The sequence below is a fragment of the Homo sapiens genome, chromosome 7 (genome assembly GCF_000001405.40).
Source record: "Homo sapiens chromosome 7, GRCh38.p14 Primary Assembly".
Classification (NCBI taxonomy): Eukaryota; Metazoa; Chordata; class Mammalia; order Primates; family Hominidae; genus Homo; species Homo sapiens.
Window position 1 is genome coordinate 154,888,732 of NC_000007.14, and position 18,947 is coordinate 154,907,678.

Below are 18,947 nucleotides of genomic sequence, written 5' to 3' on the forward strand. Positions count from 1 at the left end.
AGTCCGTTTTCATGCTGCTGATAAAGACATACCTGAGACTGGGCAATTTACAAAGGAAATAGGTTTAGTGGAGAACTTACAGTTCCACATGGCTGGGGAAGCCTCACAATCATGCTGAAGGCAAGGAGGAGCTGGTCACATCTTACACAGATGGCAGCAGGCAAAGAGAAAGCATGTGCAGGGAAACTCTGCCTTATAAAGTCATCAGCTCTCGTGAGATTTATTCATTATCATGAGAACAGCAGCACAGGAAAGACCCACCCCCATGATTCATTCATCTCCCACTGGGTCCCTCCCACAACTCGTGGGAATTATGGGAGCTACAAGATGAGATTTGGGTGGGGACACAGAGTCAAACCATACCACTGGGCTTCTGACATCTGCCCTGCATTTCTTTGCAGATATAAGGCATCCCGGTTCTCCGGGAACTTAGTGTTTTCAATACACTTCACCTACCTTCTCAGTCAGGTTTCCAAGCAGAACACCTGGCTCCCTGCAGTGCAGCCCCCTAACTCTGTCCCCTTGCCCCCGCATGTGCAGATGACCAAGGTAGCCCATCGAGTCTCCGCGCTGGAAGAACAGCAGTTCCTGATCATTCATCCCACTGCCGATGGTAAGGACTGAAAACATGAATTCACTGTGTATCTAGTAAGAGCCTCCTCCTTGATGGCACCATGGGTTTTAACAAATGTCTTCCTCTCTTTTTTTTTTTTTTTTTTGCACAGAAAAAATTCATTTCCAGCACACAGCAGAACTCATTACACAACTAATTAGGGGAAAGGCTAATTACAGCTTACAGGTACAGTACGCATGTTACTCTGTTTTGAACCTGGAGCAAGACATTCCTTTCATGGAGAAAGACCTGACGGGTGTTCAGGGCCTTCTACTGCAGCAGACACGCCTGTGCTGTGGTGGTCGGTGATGAGCAAGGTCCCAGCAGGTTGGAAAATCAGCACATGCTCAACGTTTTCTTATAATTAATGATAGCTCCGCTCTGTACTTCAGCCCGGTTTAAATCCCTTTAGGACAACCATCTCCCCGTACTCCCACCCCAGCCCTGCTCCCCTCCTCCGGGCAGTGAGAAGAACCAAGCCAGCACCCACCCTGCCCAGCAGTGTGGCTGGGGCTATCCCGCTGCGGAGAGTGGGACTGTTGTTCTGGGTTGGTGAGAGTGGTGCTGGTGGGCCCTGAGCCTTGCCCCACTGCTTCCCTCTGACCAACACCACATGTTACTACGCACTAGCAGGATGTCCTGGGGCCATCTGTAGCTAGGCAGTAGTGAAAGAGGGGTACCCTTCCCAGAACTGAACTCACTTTCCCACAACCAACCCGTGGCCCGTCCACAACAGCATCAAGTGCTGACCCAGCAGCCTCAAACCTGGGCTCTTCCCAGTAATGCACAGGGATGTCTCTGGAAACTTCTGCCATTTCCTTCCTGCCTTCTGCTCCTTTGGTGGAACAGGTATGACCCAATGGTCTCTTCAGGTCCAACATGAATGAATGGGAGAGCTCCTTGGGGACAGATGACAGGCAGGCACCCTGCCTCCCTCAGAGAGCTCTTGCCCTGGGCTGATCACTGCCTTGGCCTCCAGCATCCCTGCCTGTGGGAGGGAGGGACCACCTGTGGGCTTGATCAGGCAGGGAGAGCTCCAGCCAGAAGGGAGTTGGACCCCAGTGTGGATGAAGAGGGGCAGAAGGACGGGGTTACACCACACTTGAGTTCCCTTGTGAAAGACGTTCAGATTTCAGACTTTTTCAAAGTAAGTGTGGCAGTTGCATGGCAGTGTTAAGCACACTGACCATGGACGCTCCAAAGGTCCATGTGTATGTGTTCATGTGGGCAACTCCCCAAGATATGGGGCGAGCTGAACCCCCCAGGTACAGAGCAGCCTGCATCGCTGCAGGCTCCATGGGTATCAGGGAGCAGGACCCACCCAGGGACACACATGTGGGCACAGCAAAGGCCTTCACAGACACCCCATGCATCTGGAGCCAGGCCCAGCCCCAGGTAAGAGCACGGGAGACGGGGGCCTGAGGCAGGAGGAGAAAGCTTCCTGCCCATATCCTCTTGTACTACTTGATGTTTTAATGACATATCATAGCCTAATGACAGCATTAATAAATACTTCAAAATAAAGATGAATTTCACCCTCCAAAAACATACAAAGAAGGCAGGAAGAGGCAGTCTAGTGTCATAGAAAGATGTAGGTTTTGGGCCAGATGCAGTGGCTCACACCTGTAGTCCCTGCACTTTGGGAGGCTGAGGTGCGGGGATTGCCTTGAGCTCAGGAGTTTGAGACCAGCCTAGGCAACAGAGCAAGACCCCATCTCTACAAAAAGTTTTTAGAAAATAGCCGGACGTAGTCATGTGTACCTGTGGTCCCAGCTACACAGGAGGCTGAAGTGGGAGAATCACTTGAGCCCAGGAGGTTGAGGCTGCAGTGAGCTATGGTAACACCATGGCATTCCAGCCTGGGCGACAGAGTGAGACCCTGTCTGAAAAAGAAAAGAAAAAAATAAGATGCAGGCTTTGAATCCCTGCACGTGCACAGATGGTTCACGGTGCTCCTAGGAGATGGTGGCATCACCGCATTGGCAGTAGAATAATTAGCCATCATCCTATTGGCATCTGGGACCGAATGAGCCCACATTCCAGGCCTCATTCTAAGCACGGCACGGCTATAAGATTGTTTAATTCTCACAAAGTGTCATGAGCTGGAGTCTGTGATTATCCTCCCCACCCGACACACCTGGAATCCGAGGCTCAGGCAAGTTAACCTCCACAGTCACACAGGGAGTAGCCAGGACGCAAAATCTGTGGGGTGGGCCCGTGGGCACCCAGGACAGCACGCAGCCCTTCCACGGGAGTTTCCCACACTCAGAGTGTAACTGAGAGAGCATAGGAGTGTAATGGCGCGATCTCGGCTCACAGCAACCTCCGCCTCCTGGGTTCAAGTGATTCTCCTACCTCAGCCTCCCGAGTAGCTGGGATTACAGGCACGCCCCACCATGCCCAGCTAATTTTTGTATTTTTAGTAGAGACACGGTTTTACCGTGTTGGCCAGGCTGGTCTCGAACTCCTGACCTCAAGTGATCCTCCCGCCTCGGCCTGCCAAAGCACTGGGATTACAGGCATGAAATTCTATTTCTTTTCAGAGCCTGACACCCTGAAAACTTGGGCTGCGGCTCTGTAGTCCCTAAGCTTGTATCCATGTTGCAAATTCAAGCAAGCAGATCCGGACTGTAGAGTGTTGAATGAAGAGCTTCCCAATGTTTTCACCCAGTTCCCACTGAGCATTTGCTGTGCCTGGAGAGGGCCAGGCACCGGGGGCGTGGTGGTGTTTGAAGGCTGGTTGGCTTCACGAATGGGTGGTGCATGTCCACGCTAGGGGAGGCGCCCCTCTGACTGGGACAGCCAGGCAGATCTCCCAGGAGGAAGAGGCACTTCCATCAGGAGTGGCATGGTTAGCAAACCCACTTCATCAACTACAATCCAGCCCCGGACGGGGCCCAGGTTTCACTAAACTCCACACCTTCTGTGCGTTCCCGTCCCCTGGGGAGCGTATACCTGGGAGAGTAATTTCTCCGTGCCTTCCTTGCAGATTTACCCGGACGAAAGCCATTACTTTACCAGCTCCAGCCTCAAACAGCATCTGTACCGGTCCATCATCAACTTCTTCGTGGAATGCTTCAGGATCCAGGACAAACTGCTGACAGTCACAGCGAAAGAGGACGAGGAGGAGGACTAAGCTCAGGTCGCTCTAAGCACAAACGTGGCTCTTTCTACAACCAGATGCAACCGAGGGATTTCCCTGCCCTCCCTCTTCCCTCGGAGGGGCGGGGCGGGGCGGGGCCGGGTGTTCCATAGCATGTGTGTCTCGGATGCGGAAGGCAGTTTTGCTTGGGAAACAAGCTCCTTCCCCGGGGTCATCACTCACGGCCTCCATGGCACCAGGGACAACGCTGTCCCCGCAGCAGCGCCTCCTCCCGGCGCCCGAGAGACCGGCACGCCACGGCCCCTCCCCCAAGGAACAGAGCAAAGGATGGTGGCCGCAGGCCCCACGCGAGCCCACAGGACACCGGCCCCTAGATTCCAGCCACCAAGCGGAAGCATGAGACCCGCCCACACTAGCCTCTGTGTTCCCGTTAGGGACATCACACCCTGTCTCACGTCGCAGTGCCATGGACGCAGCAGTTACAGCACCATTGTTTTAGCAGTGCGTGTTCATATATGGGCTTGCTACTTCCTGTAATGAGGACGTTCAACATGGTGAGGGGCTACAAGAAAACGCTTTTCTGTACAGAGTCTTACTGTAGCTACGCTAATGGTTAACCTGATAGAATTAACTCGTATTTTTCTATGGTTTTAACCTGATGCTCCACTGTCTCCGTCATGGGGTTGTTTTGCTGTTTGGGGTTGGGCCTTGTTTCCCTTTCCTTTCTCCAGTCCACGTGTAGACTTTGCGCTTGATGAAGAAGCAGATCGGAAGTAACTGCTCCCTCCTCAAGGTTGTCTTCAGACGTCTTGGGGACGTTCCTAAACACTGAGGGGGAAGACAGCCAATAGCACCCATTAAAAGAAATACCTAAATAAAACCTCTCTCCCACTCAGCTATGCTAGGGCTTGGCTGTAGGTGTGCACTGTCTATTTACATCCGTCCTTACAACCATCCTTGTCCTCCTTGGTACCGTATCAAGCTCTTTCCCATGACATTTGGTTTAAAAAAAAAAAAAAAAAAAAAAAAAAAACAGAAAAAAGACAAAGCGTCAACTCCACCCACAGGCCCGCTGTGTGTGCTCGGGCCACGGGAGTCCTGAGGGTTCTGTGGGCCTGCGCGCATCCCTCTCCCATCGTGGGGGTGGCTCCGTGACCTTCCTGCCACGAGCAGGAGGTTGATGATGTGCTACGTTAGCCTTGTAAGATACACCCCCACCAAATGTGCAGCCGGTGTTCCCAGTGTATATTTCATTCTCTTGTATATAAAGGAAGCAATGTGTGTCAGGCCTCTGTGCAGTCAACCCAGCCTCCTCCCGCCAGTGCTAACCCCGTGTTGAGCCTGCATGCTGACACTGTGGCCGATCTGGACTCTAGAAGTGCTAGTTTGAAATATATCCATTACTGTCATTTCCTTTTGAGCTTGTGGACAAGCTGAATGTCAGGACTGACTTCGCCAGCTCCCAGCCCTGCGGGGGTGTCCTTGGCATCCCATCAGCAGAGGAGATGCGTCCCTGTTGCATTTTGGCGTTTGGGGCTTTGGGTTTATCCACATGAGCTCTGAACGTCCGTTATAGTTAGGGTGATTGGAAGGTCTCCATCACTGGGTGTTTTAAAGGTGATTCACCACCATTTGTGAAAGGACCAACGTGCTGATAAACAGGACCGATCCGAGTGCTACATGACTGTGCGTTTGCTATTTCAATGGGCCTGAACGACTACAAAGCCAGCTAGGTCTGGAAGGGGAAGCCAGCTCTGGCCACGACATCTGGTCGGAGGGAAGTGGGGATGTGGCATGGTAGCGTCTGTTCATCCATGGAATAAAACATTATTTTACCACTCGGATTGTTCCTTTCTTGCTCATCCTCCCCCATCGCACCTTAGAAAGTGTGCTAGGCTTCAGGAGACTTTCAGAGAACCCACTGGGCCCCTCCAAGACGGATGCATGGCCACAAGAGCCTGTTGTGTGCCAAATGAAGGTTGCATCCATGGTCGCAGCAGTCTGGGTAGTAGAGAAGGACGCAACCAGTCGAATATATCAAAGCCCCAAATCAGTCCAAGAAAACAAATTTGAATTTTGTCTTGGGAGTCTTAGGGTGGAGACGCAGAGCTATTCCCTAACCCTGAGAGTGAAATTGATTCTCAGTGGAAGCCATAGCATTGCCCACTAGAAAACTTTAATTTTTTTTTCTTTTTTTTTGTAGAGATGGGGTTTTGCCATGTTGCCCAGGCTGGTCTTGAACCCCTGGCCTCAAGTGATCCTCCTGCCTCGGCCTCCCAAAGTGCTGGGATTATAGGCGTGAGCCACCATGCCTGGCCTAGAAAACTGTAGAAAAATGTCTCCATCTGTTGGAAATGTATCCACTCATTTGCTGTTATCAATGTCGATGTAAACATGGCCCAGCCTGAAAGCCAAGGGATTGATTTAATTAATTAATTAATACTTCCCGACCATGGAGCAGCTGCTGCCTCAGAGATGGGGGATCAGTCCCATCAGCCCCGCTGAATTAGCTGATTCTTGTCACCCTCTGGATCAAGAATCATGGAAAGAATGGGGTGGGTGGAGAGGAGGAGTTAAAAAGGAAAAAGAAAGAATCAAATGTGAAAGGAGATTTTTAAAAACCAGACACAGCAGAGGCCATCTAAGTCTAACATACTCATTCCCCCCAAACAGTATCTCTGTGAGCCACCCTGGCCCTCTCCCTGGTCTCGCCCCAGAAGGAGGCCAGTGCCCCCATCCCAGCTTTCCATCCCTGAGTCCTTCCCCCGGACCAGGGCTTGATTTGTGGATAGGAGTTGACGGTTTGCTCAAGAAGGTGCATTTTCCCACTTTGGAAAACACTGAGTGTGGAATGACGAGCTAGGCCTGGCCCTGAGAACAAGTGTTGGCCGCAACCAGCAGGGACCACTCCGGTTCCCACTTGGAGAAGCTTTGGTCTTTCCCCAGCTCTAGAATGGCTTTGGGAAGACGCCGGCGTGGCCTCACCAGGCCGCCGCGGCTGTGGTTGCTGTGCCTGCCTGGCTCAAATCCCCCACTGCAGCCTTCTCTGTGTTTTCAAACTGCACGTGCGTGGCACAGTAGAGTGCTACTTTTATTTCCGTTTTAAATTAGGTTTTTGTTTTTTTTTTTTTTTGAGATGGTATGTCGCTCTGTCACCAGGCTGGAGTGCAGTGGCGCAATCTCAGCTCACTGCAACTTCTGACTCCCTGGTTCAAGTGACTCTCCTGCCTCAGCCTCCCGAGTAGCTGGGATTACAGGCAAGCGCCACCACACCCAGCTAATTTTTTGCATTTTTAGTAGAGACGGAGTTTCACCATGTTAGCTAGGATGGTCTTGATCTCCTGACCTCGTGATCCGCCCACCTCAGCCTCCCAAAGTGCTGGGATTACAGGCGTGAGCCACCGCACCTGGCCTAAATTAGTTTTAATACTGAACTTCCAACCAGGCAGCTATGGAATTCCCAAAGCACCATCAGGTTTCTCAGCACCCAGCTCCAGGCCCACAGCCCAACTCCTGGGCTGCCTGGGGCATCTCTGAGGCCATGGGCCATCAGGTTCACAAAGACATGCACGTGGGGGGACCTCCATCCCCACTGGCCTGAAAACATGCTCCTTTCCCTCCTGCCTGACCCAACCCACCCAGAAGCAGTGATTTAAGGGATTGATTGTTTTCGGGAAGCCCCTATTAAAATCCCCTCTGTCACAGAAGAGCCCGGAAGGACATTTTCAGAAGCTCCCTTGGTGCTCCCTCCTGGTACACAGCTGCGTGTTCGTAGACGGGCAGCTACGCCGAGACGGGCGCCTGGTGAGAGCCTGGATGTGCCCACGGACAAGGGCCAGGCCATAAATCAGGGCAGGGCTCCAACCTGCACCTGCAGACACTGCCCCGGGGCCAGGCATGGCCTCTGCAGCAGTTGGTCCCAGAGGTCAGGATTTGAGCAGTAAATACCAGCTTCCCTTATTCTCAGCCCTGCTTCTAACTGAGGACCAACTGGGAAAAGCCAGATACCCACAACCAATCTCCTGGGACGCCCTGCTTCTGAGCGCCTCCAGCTTCCCACTCCAGCAGCCTCCAGCCAGAGCATCCCTGGAGCCTCCTTTTCTCCACCGTGAAGCTCACCCACCCCCCCGTCCGAACGCAGGTAAGAGCAGTGAGCCCCTTGCTGGAGAAAGCTCTGGATAAGCAGCCTCTGCTCACACTCATTTTAGTACAGTCTTAGCCTTAGCGGCCATAGTGAAGTCCCATAGACTGGGGGCTTAAATAGTAGGACTTGATTTCTCACAGTTCTAGAGCCCAGAAGTCTAAGATCATGGGGCCAGCACACTCGGTTCCTGGTGAGGGTTCTCTCCCTGGTTTACTATTGATCGTCTTCTCCCTCTGTCTGCACGTGGCAGAGTGAGAAGGAGCGAGAGGGAGCAAGAGCATGAGAAGAGACTTCTCTGATGTTTCTTCTTACAAGGCACAAATCCCATCATGGGGGACACACACTTATGACCTCTTCTAACCCTAATCACTTCCCAGATGCTCCATCTCTAGCCATCACACCGGGGCTTAGGGCTTCAACAGTGAATTTGGGGAAACATAACATTCAGTCTGTCACAGGTGGTCTTTGTTTATTTTCACACTGGCATTCCAGGGAGAAAATAGGTGTTCTTTTATTTCAGAGAAGAGTTGCTGAGGGGCCTCTGGGGACTCTGAGGCCAGGGAAGGAGGGAGGCAGAGGAGGCGGACAGAGCCTCAGGAGACTGACCTCCCTGCTGGGGCTCCCCAGGGGTCCAGACAGGCAGACGGGCAGCCTTCCAGGGCTGCTCCCGAAGGCCTGGCTTCCCCTCTGCAAACCACAAGCTCCAAAATGGTCATTCTCCATCTGAACTCAGCCAGTGACACTATACAGATAGGGAATCTGAAGCCCAGAGAAGGCAAGGAAGTTGTCCAAAACCACGCAGGAAACAGTCACAGTCCTGCATTCCTTCCGCCCTTTTTTCCTGCTGTGTTTTCTTCAATGATAAACTCACAAGTCCTGGCCTCAGGGCCCCGGGAGTAGTAGCCAGCTGCCTTTCTCCACAGAGCTGGGCTGGGGGTGTCTAGCATGGTCCCTTGGGGTGCTCGTCCTCACCCGTGTGGGTGCCCCAAGCACAGTCTCCAGCCAACATGGAGCCTGGCTCAGTGGACATGGGCGTCAAGATCCAGGCTCTGAGAAAACCACAGAGCTATGGGTCCTTCCAATTCCTATCCAGCCAGGGATCCTTTCTAGAAATTCTCTTTTTTTTTTCCAACTTTTTTTATTTTATTTTTAATTATTATACTTTAAGTTCTAGGGTACATGTGCACAACGTGCAGGTTTGTTACATAGGTATACATGTGCCATGTTGGTGTGCTGCACCCATTAACTTGTCATTTACGTTAGGTATATCTCCTAATGCTCTCCTTTCCCCAGCCCCCCACCCCACGACAGGCCCCGGTGTGTGATGTTCCCCACCCTTTGCCCACGTGTTCTCATTGTTCAGTTCCCACCTATGAGTGAGAACATGCGGTGTTTGGTTTTCTGTCCTTGCAATATTTTGCTCAGAATGATGGTTTCCAGCTGCATCCATGTCCCTACAAAGGACATGAACTAGAAATCCTCACTGATCGGCTTACCGGCCCCCGATGCACAGCCATAAGGTAGCTCTGTGTTGATTCCCAGAGTGGGATCGGAAGTGGCCACAAGTTCAAGGAGACACGTAAACACACAGAAGAGCCGGGTCAGCCACCCGACTCTGTAACCTCCCCCCGGGAGAAAGTGCGTGCCACACGCTCAGCATGGGCCTGGCCCACCGTGGGTGTGCCAGCAATGAACACACTGCCGCCTTGCCCACCCCAAGTAAAGGGAACCCCAGAAAGCCGCAATCTTTGTCTGTTTTGTTCACTGCAGAAGCCTCAACACATAGAACCATGTTCACGATCAGAGGGAAGGGGAGGGTCCCACCTGGGTCACATCACGGTCTGGAGGTCTGCAAGAAACAGGTGGATGCTGGGGGTGACCAGAGCCGCCGTGTCTGCGGTTCCCTCGGTGGGAATGTGCTCTGTGCGTCCGCCGGGCTGGCTCAGAAGCTCACGGAAGCCCTTTCAACACTGTGCAGAGCCAGGTGGACAATAAAATGTTTGGGAAAGAGGAGAACCGTTTTCAAAATGATATGAATATATTTAAATCCATTAAAATGTTTCATTTGACTTACATTCGTTTATCTTCAACCTCTTCATGAGCTCAGTGAGTCGAGTTCTGTTAGCTTCCATGTGTAAACCACAAGCATAGGTACGGTAGTATAAAAACCTAAACGTCAGGAATGGAACAGGGCCCGAAAGACCGTCATGAAGCCATCTGAATGGGAGTCCTTTCCGAGTTCTCCATGTATTCCTAGTCATTTACAGTTGCCCACAACTTATTTCAACTCCTTTTTTTTAGCAGATTGCCCCTACTGAATTTTTCCAAATCACTCAACTTCGTTTTTCTAGGAATGACACCATTTTGTTTTTACACTCACTGTCCAGAGTTTAAGTGGGATTGAATCCAATTTGGCTCCGTGGATACCACTGTGCTCCACCCAGCACCCCTCTCAGAGCAGGGTGGGACTCTGCAGGACAGGACACTGTGGCCCAGCTCCTGAGCATGTGGGCTGAGCTGTTCACAGCTGGGCCCTTGGCTAGCCTACCGGACCTGCAGGGGACCTGCCTGGTTGAAGGTCACAGACCCTCCCAGGAGCGCCACCTGGCCAAGGACCGTGTGACTTGGGATACCAATACCCAGTCCCTCTGTCTCAATTTAGGACAATCTCAAAGGTTATCCCAGCCACAGAGGCTTCAGCTCAAGGGCGACGTCCTGGGGGACAGGCTGAGGCCGACAGGCTCAGCCTCAGCCCCCCGGTGCGTCTCCCTAGGGCACTACCAGTGAACCTGCATGAGGCAGCGGTCCCTCAGAGAGTCTGTTTCTAGGGATCCTAATCGAACCTATGACTGGAGTGAGAAGTACAACTACAAAGGAAATGAAACAAAACAGGTGTGGGCGCAAACCCAACAGACGCTCGGCGAGCCCAGCGGCACTCACCTCTGGGGGATGCAGGCTTCCACCTGGAGGCGAAGACCAGACCGGCCGACCACCCTGAGTGTGGGCAGTCCATGTGCTACACAGAGGGATGGAGCCGCAGCAGACAGCCTGCACCCTGCTTTCATAATGTCAGTCAGGGAACTGCTACCACCCAGACTAGACACGGCCCACCTGGAACCCCTCTGTTGACCTGCAGGGGATTCGCTTGGGGGCAGCTCAGCTCCTCCCATGCCTCTGCCATGGACCCCAGGTACTGCCTGCTGGCCTGGTGGGACCTTTGCTCCAAAGCCGAGTGACTAATGCAGAAGCGTGGAGGACCCACTGCCAGCATCCTCTGAACAAAGAAGCTGCTCCCTCCCTCCCAGCCTTGGCCCTAGCATGGGAAGTTCCTAAGTTGGAGGAGTCTGGAGCTCCCTGGCTTTGACTTTGGTTATCATAACTAATGGCTTTCCAGACAGAGGCCAGCCCCACCCATGAGCTGGTTATTCGTCTAATGTGGTTTGTGTCAGCCTGGTGGGAACGTGTGCTGGCAGCTTCAGCAGCCTCCACAGTCAGTTCTAGGGTTCACAGGACCTGCTTGGTGAGGAAGATGGTGGCACGAGGCAGAAACAGCAACGTCTTTGTGGTTGTGAGGCCTGAGACCACATGTTCCTATCAGCTGTGTAACATCGGGCAGGTCCCTTCATTTCTCTGAGCCCCAACTTTCTCATCCTTAAAATAGAACAAGTACCTGCCTCTTTAGGGTGTTGTACAAATTAAACATTGTCTGATAAAGTCCTTTGTTAACCTGTGTGCTACATGAGTGTGGGGTATGACCACTGTAAGTTTCATTACTGTTAGGGTTAGGAAGGAACTACATCAGTCCCTTGTAGGAATTACTTTTGTAGCCGTGGACGTGGGTTAACAGAGCCACGCGCTTGTCTTCAGAACATGTACGGGTCTCAACCCTGAGGCTGTGCCCTTGTAGGAAGGCTGGCCTTCATCACAGGGCCCCCCAGCCCGGGAGGACCCAGGAAGCTATTTTTGAGAGACTTGGGTCTGCAGGTCTGACTCCAGGACAAGTCGAGGTTAACAAAGTTAGAATGAGAAGCAGCTTCCCAGAGGGCAGCTGAGGCCTCGCAGGAGGCCTGTGTCAGAACGTCCACTTTAATTAAAATATTTGCCTGCCTGTAGCCTGATTTCTTTTACACATGGTCTAATTTCTTATAGTGGACCTAAGTGACTCTCACACACCACCCTGCAAGGCAAGGCAAGAGTTTTTAATTTGAAGTTTCGACCATTAGGGAAATTCATGGATGGGCTTCAGGGGGTCTATGAGTCCCTGAAATTGCAAGCCAAAGTTGTGTGTCCCTGCACGTCTAATACCATCCTGGTGGCACCAAGAATTGCCACCTGGAAACACAAGCCATTCATGCCGAAGGGCTTTGGGCCTCATGGACTAAACTCCCTTACAAATCTCACTCAATGAGACAGCTTCTGGCCTGGAAGAGTCATCGAGGCACCTCCAGACGATGTGAGAATCTCACTGAGTTTTCTTTCTCTTTCTCTAGAAAAGGGCTATTAACAAATTTGAGACGTTGATAGAAGACTTTCATACTCAGCCAAGTAGCAGCCATGAACCTCAGCCCAAGGAGAATGCGTTGACTGCATTTTCACCTTTGTTACTACTGGAGTCTCAGAACATCCTTGGGAAGGACATGAGGCAAGTAACATAACTATTCCAATTTCACTGATAAGGAAGGTGCACAAAATTTAAATGATTTGCCCAGAGGATGTAGCTGGTTTTTACTTCAACCAGCTCTAAAACCCTAATTCCCAGCCAAAGGCTTTTCCATTGGAAGGAAAAGGGAAAATTTTTCATTTCCCAAATTAGTTATCCCAGTAGATCAAGAGACCCTTCAGGAGACCTAAAGTCAACTTGTGAAGATTCACAGTGTTAATTTCTGCTTGTCTGAACTTCCACAGTGATGAATGGAGCCACAGCCAGTCGTGCTAAGCTGATTAAATACGCACTTTGCTAGCCACCCACCATGATGCCAACTCTACCCGCTTTTTTTAGTATTCCTGTCGTGTGGAGTCCACTCCCACATGGAATCAGGCTTGACCCCTGTGACTACAGAATACTGCAGAGGTGACAGTGCGTGAATGCCAAGGCTTGGTCATTAACGGTACTGCAGCTTCTGTCTTTCTCTCCTGGCCAGATGGCTCCTTCTGTGGGAAGTTGGCCACCATGTTGCAAGGATGTTCAAGCAGCTCCACGGAGAGGTCCATGTTGAGAGGAACTGAGGCCTCCCACCAGCAGCCAGTGCAATTCTCCAGCCATGTAGGGGCGCCACCATGGCAGTAAATCCTCCATCCTCTGTCAGTCCCACCCATGACTATGGCCACAGCTGACATCTGATTGCAACCTCAAGAGAGACTCTCAGACAGAATTCTTGGCCAAGGCACTCTCAGATTCCAAATCTAAAGGAACTGTGAGCAATCGTAAATGACTGTTGTTTTAAGCCATTAAGTTTTGGAGTGATTTGTCACACAGCATTCGATAACTAATACAACTCACAACCACCCCCAAAAACTCTGCCAGCACCCGCATCAGTGCCTCTGCAGGACACCCCTTTCTGTAAATATGGGATAGGCTGGGGCATAAGTGACCCTTGAGAGTGGGCGCAGACTCTGAACCGTCTGACATAAGTCACTGGTTCCTAGTCCCAAGCATCAAATCCCTGCTACATTGGGAAGGGTTCACAAATGGCAGGAAGAGAAATGGTAGAAAAATTCCTTCAGGCACTAACTGGAGTCCACCCTAGCACTACCACCCCTCTTTCTTAGAAGTGGAACCCCCAGTTTTTAACTGGGCCTATGGTCATCCAGAATAAAAACTGTTCCGGCCTCTTCGCTGAGCCTAACTTCTGGCCACTGGGATGTATGTGACATGCCACATGGCAGCTGCCAAGACACTTCCTCAAAAGACAGCAGGGAAGCATCCTTGGTCTCATCTTCTCCCTCCTCCCTCTGGGTTCCTGAAGACCCAACAGAGCCTTGGTCCACAAGGTGGAAGCTCCGAGCCAAGGGTGACAGAGAGCAAGCAGATGCTGCCTGGGCTCCTGGCAGGTGGGCACACTATACCAGCCCTGGTGTCCCTCATCAGAACGCTCTATCTTCTTTATCTTGGCCTTTTCTGTGTTTTGCAGTCAAATTTGATGCCAGCTAGCACACTGCACTGTGAGGGCTGAATTACACAGGCCAGCGGCTTGATCCTAGGGCCCAGAGCCTCTCACTGCAAAACGCTGTGTAGTTGCCAGTTATTCAGGACAACTAAGCATTTGCATTGGACACAAGGCAGATGACTATGCATCCATTCACTCCAAAGATCACAATAGCCACATTAATAATAATAATTAACATTTATGAAAAGCCTGCTCTATATCAAGCACTGTGCTAGCATTCTGCGTGGATAAACACATTTAATCTCTGCACAATTAACACATTTCAATCTACAACTACCCCATGAGGTTGGGTTACCATTATTTACGTTTGGCGGACAGGAAACAAAAGGAACAGAGAGACGCCGTCACTGGCCCCAGATAACAAAGCCAGTCAGTGCTCGGGAGGGAGTCCTGCCACCACCAGCTCCCTCTCCAAAGGGAGGCCCTTACCAGGTCCCAAACCCGAGTCTACCCACGTTTGGGCACAGCAGATGAACTGTGTGACCTCCATGTGTTTGAGTAATAGGCTTGGCCTTGGCAGGTTGATTTGTTTGAGCTGAAAGAGAACAAAGAAAGGCCTTCTGCCCAGGTGCCTGGAGAGGTGAGCAGGGGTCGCTGGTCTGCGAGAGGCTCTCCAGCAGGAGCTGAAGAACTCGTTTTCTGGGAGACAAAGGGAGGGCTGGCTTGGCCTGGGAGGCTGGGGGCACTCTCTGTGGCCCAGAGGGAGCGCCATGCAGTCGGTCCAGAGAAGCTCTGAGATCTGGGGCCACCTGGGCAGCCCAGGGTCTGCAGCAGCCTCCTGCCAGTCACCACGGCTGGAACCTGGGGGCTGTGGAGGGCTCCGAGGTGGAGGATGGTCCCATGTGTCTGGGTGAGCAGCAGACACCACGGGAGCAGCTGTTTGACCTGAGCCAGTCACACAAAGGAGTCAATTTCCAGCTGTGTGGGAGCCTGAGTCCAGGCACACTTGGCAAGGAGCCCTTGGTGGCCAGCGTCCTAGCCTGAGATGGCAGGGGGCAAAGCTGGTGAAACGTAGGTCGTCAGTGGTGGTGAGACCCACTCTCACCCAGAGGCCGGCAAGGTCAGTGAGCAAGATTATCCACTGTAGTTCGTTCAATCGGATTTCACTGCCAGTATTCCCTGTGGAGAAGAGTGGTATAATCAACATAATTTTTTTTTTTTTTTGAGACGGAGTCTCGCTCTGTTGCCCAGGCTGGAGTGCAGTGGTGCAATCTTGGCTCACTGTGACCTCCACCTCCTGGGTTCAAGTGATCCTCCTGCCTCAGCCTCCCGAGTAGCTGGAACTACAGATGTGCGCCACCACACCTGGCTAATTTTTATATTTTTATAGAGACGGGCTTTCACCATGTTGGCCAGGCTGGTCTCGAACTCCTGACCTCAAGTGATCCTCCCGCCTCGGCCTCCCAAAGTGCTGGGATTACAGGCGTGAGCCACCAAGCCCAGCTCATAAGTATATAAATATGATGAATTCATTGACCAGTAGAGAAGCAGGACCCATGAATGTCTCCAAATTCTGTTTTCAACTGCACCAAGACTGCTGGAGTTTTACGTCTCAGATATATTAGCAGATGTGTGCTTTTCCAAATAACCATTTTTACGGAAATCTTAATATTGTCTGAAAGTCAGCATGATTGTCCTGTGAATGAGATTTTTACTCGCTTGGCGGAAGGAGGCAGAATGAATCCACTGCTTGAGATCCTCTTCTATGACTGCAGCAACTGTGGGCTTTGAGGACCTTGAGCTGGACTTAGATGACCCTCTCAGTGGTATGCTGGCATCAGCCTTCCTAATAGAAAACAAAAGGAGAGAAAAACAAAAGAAAAGAAAATCCCAACCCATAGAGTCTGTCGATCTCCGTGGTGTAAGTGTTTCCACTATGGCCAACGTCAAACACCCAAGCTGCCATCACTGAAAATGGAGTTGGGAAGCAAAGGGCCAAACCCCTTCCCGCCCATTTCCAGTGAGTAGGTGTGACACTCTCCATCAGGCACCACTAACTCTGGCTAACACCGGTTAGTCTATGGGGCAGGGCCTCTAGGAGGGCCAAAGAATGCAGCACCAGGAGTTGACAAACCCACACCCTCCATCCTGGACAGGTTTCTTCTGTGGCATTGGGCAGGCACTTCCACAAATCGAAACTGACTTTTTCCCACCCAAATGACAAGTTCCCGGGGTAAGCGAGACGGTTTATTTCCCCCATACCTCACCCCTCCGTCCCCCATCAACAGCGCCTGGCTCACGTGGCAGTTCTGAGCAACTGGAGAGACGTGGACAGAATGAATTGCAAGAGGATGTGGGGGGTCCTAGCTCCATGTTGGGCGGGACCACCCCGCATTTCCATGCTCCTGGAATCCCACCCTGAAGCTGAGCTCCACACCCCTGCTTCTAGAGCACTTTCAGAGACCGCAGCCTCAAGGAGGTCTACTGATTCAGTAACCGGCAGAGGCTGTCTGGGGAGCACGGTGGAAGTTAAACGCCATGAAGAGAGCATCCAAGGCCCCCAGACTCTGGGGTCAGGAGTCTCACACCACCACGCTGCTGGCTCAGGCATAATTTATCAGGCTTCATACATATCAGAGGAGGCCGCAGCTGCTAGCACTCCACGCCAGCCCTGCAAACATTTCTTCAATTATTCAGTCACCAGGCACAGGGAGCTAGTCCACTGCTTCAAAGTTACATTGTTATAAAGTAACAATTACAGCAAGGTTTAGGGCTGAGCTCCCAGGCCTGGACACTCCGCCCCACAACCCTGACCACCCCAGTCTTTCTCTCTCTCTCTCTCCAGTCGTCTCTCTCTTTCTCTCCTCTCTCTCTGTCCATTCTCTCTGTCTCTGTCCCCATCTTTCTTCTCCCCTTCTCCCTCTCTTTCTCTCTCCTCTTTTGTCTTTTCCCCATCTCTCCCTCCCTCCGGCCTTGTATCCTTCCTTGTCTCTCCCCGTTGCCTCCCCTCCTCTTCCCTCCCCATCTGGGTGGGTGGTCAGGCCTTGGTTAGGCTTGGCCATCCAGAGAGGAGGGGAAGCCTGGTCGAGCACCCAGCACTGAGCAGAGCAGACAGACTTGGCGAAGGAGGTGGGAGCAGGGATCAGGAGGGAGGGTGCAGGGATGCCCCTGCTGTAACAAAGCATCCCAAACCCGAGACTTCAATAACGGGGTTTTATCCTATGCTGCTGGAGACTGAGCTCCGAGATCAAGGTGTGGGCAGGGCCAGGCTCCCTCTGAGAGTGCTAGGGAAGGGCCTGTCCTCCGACACTGTGCTCTCCCCCAGGGGATGGGGCGGGGGGCTCCCTGGATTGTGGCTGGGTCTCTCCACACTCTCCGTGGCACTCTCCCTCTGTGCGAGTCTGTCTCTGTGTCCCAATTCCCCCTTTTCATAAGGACAGCAGTCATATGGAGTTAGCGCCCACCCTGCTGACCGCATTTCAACTTGATCACCTCTGGTCAGACCCTGTCTTCAAGGAAGGTTCCATTTGGCGGTGCCATGGGTTAGGGCTCAGCAGATGTTTTGAGGAATACCACCATTCCAGCACAACAGCAGGGCCTCCTGGGTGGGAGGAGGAAGGAGCAGCTGGGGCGGGAGGGCCTGTGTCTCTGAGGCAGCTTGCGGCTATGGGGTAGGTGGCCCCGTGAGTGGACTTGGGACAGGGCCTTGCTGTGTCTTTGGTCCTCCTAGGAAAGGCCTCCTGGACTCTCCGGGGCTCTGCCCTTCCCGATTGTCAGCAGTGCTACGGCCTGGTCTGCAGGGTCAGCCTCTCATGCCTGCCATACCTGGGCTTTTTTTTTTTTTTTTTTTTGAGATGGAGTCTCTCTCTGTCACCCAGGCTGGAGTGCAGTGGTGTGATCTCGGCTTACTGCAACCTCCACCTCCCTGGTTCAAGCAATTCCCCTGCCTCAGCCTCCCGAGGAGCTGGGATTACACGCAAACGCCACCAAGCCCGGCTAATATTTTTGTTTTTTGTGCTAGAGATGGGGTTTCACCATGTTGGTCATGAGAGGTAACAACGTGCTAGCAGCCCTTGCTAGCTCTCGGCACCTCCTCGGCCTCCTCGGCCTCGGCGTCCACTCTGGCGCACTTGAGGAGCCCGTCAGCCCCCGGCTGCACTGAAGGAGCCCCTCTCTGGGCTGGCCGGGCCGGAGCCGGCTCCCTCTGCTTGCGGGGAGGTGTGGAGGGAGAGCGCGGGCGGGAACCTGGGCTGCAAGCAGCACTCATGGGCCAGCGCGAGTTCTGGGTGGGCCCTCCACTCAGAGCAACCAGCTGGTGCCGCTGGCTGGGCAGTGAGGGGCTTAGCACCCGGGCCAGCAGCAGCAGCAGAGGGTGCGCCGGATCCCCCAGCACTACCGGCCCGCCCGCACTGCGCTCAAATTCTTGCTGGGCCTTAGCTGCCTCCCCTCGGGGCAGGGCTGGGGACCTGCAGCCCGTCATGCCCGAGCCTCCCCGCCTCCACCCCTGTGGGTGGAGCCTCCCCTACCGGCACCACCCCCTGCTCTGCGGGCCCGGTCCCATCGACTGCCCAAGGGCTGAGAGGTGTGGGCGCCCTGCGTGGGACTGGCGGGCAGCTCCACCCGCGGCCCCAGCACGGGATCCACTAGGCGAAGCCAGCTGGGCTTCTGAGTTCAGTGGGGACTTGGAGAACTTTTATGTCTAGCTGGAGGATTGTAAATGCAGCAATCAGCACTCTGTCTAGTTCAAGGATTGTAAATGCACCAATCAGCACTCTGTGTCTAGCTCAAGGTCTGTAAATGCACCAATCAGCACCCTGTAAAAACAGACCAATCAGCTCAATGTAAAATGGACCAATCAGCAGGATGAGGGTGGGGTCAGATTAGGGAATAAAAGCAGGCTGCCCCAGCCAGCAGCGGTCATCTCCTTGGGTCCCCATGAGGTGGGAGCACGTGGAGCCCCATGAGCTCCCCCCATGGAGG

At 52.8% G+C, this 18,947-nt stretch overlaps 1 protein-coding gene across 12 annotated transcripts in view; it reads left to right on the plus strand.

Moving 5' to 3' along the window:
• Positions 1-5,554, plus strand: part of DPP6 (dipeptidyl peptidase like 6) — a 1,146,153-nt gene extending 1,140,599 nt beyond the window's left edge. For all 12 annotated transcript variants that reach the window (NR_157195.2, NR_157196.2, XM_047419951.1 and 9 more), the window contains 3 exons: positions 541-613; positions 726-799; positions 3,603-5,554. Coding sequence is in view for 10 of the 12 variants with exons in the window: in XM_047419951.1 (XP_047275907.1) it covers positions 541-613; positions 726-799; positions 3,603-3,749 (294 nt within the window). In the remaining 2 variants the exon portion in view is untranslated. The remainder of the gene's footprint in view (positions 1-540; positions 614-725; positions 800-3,602) is intronic.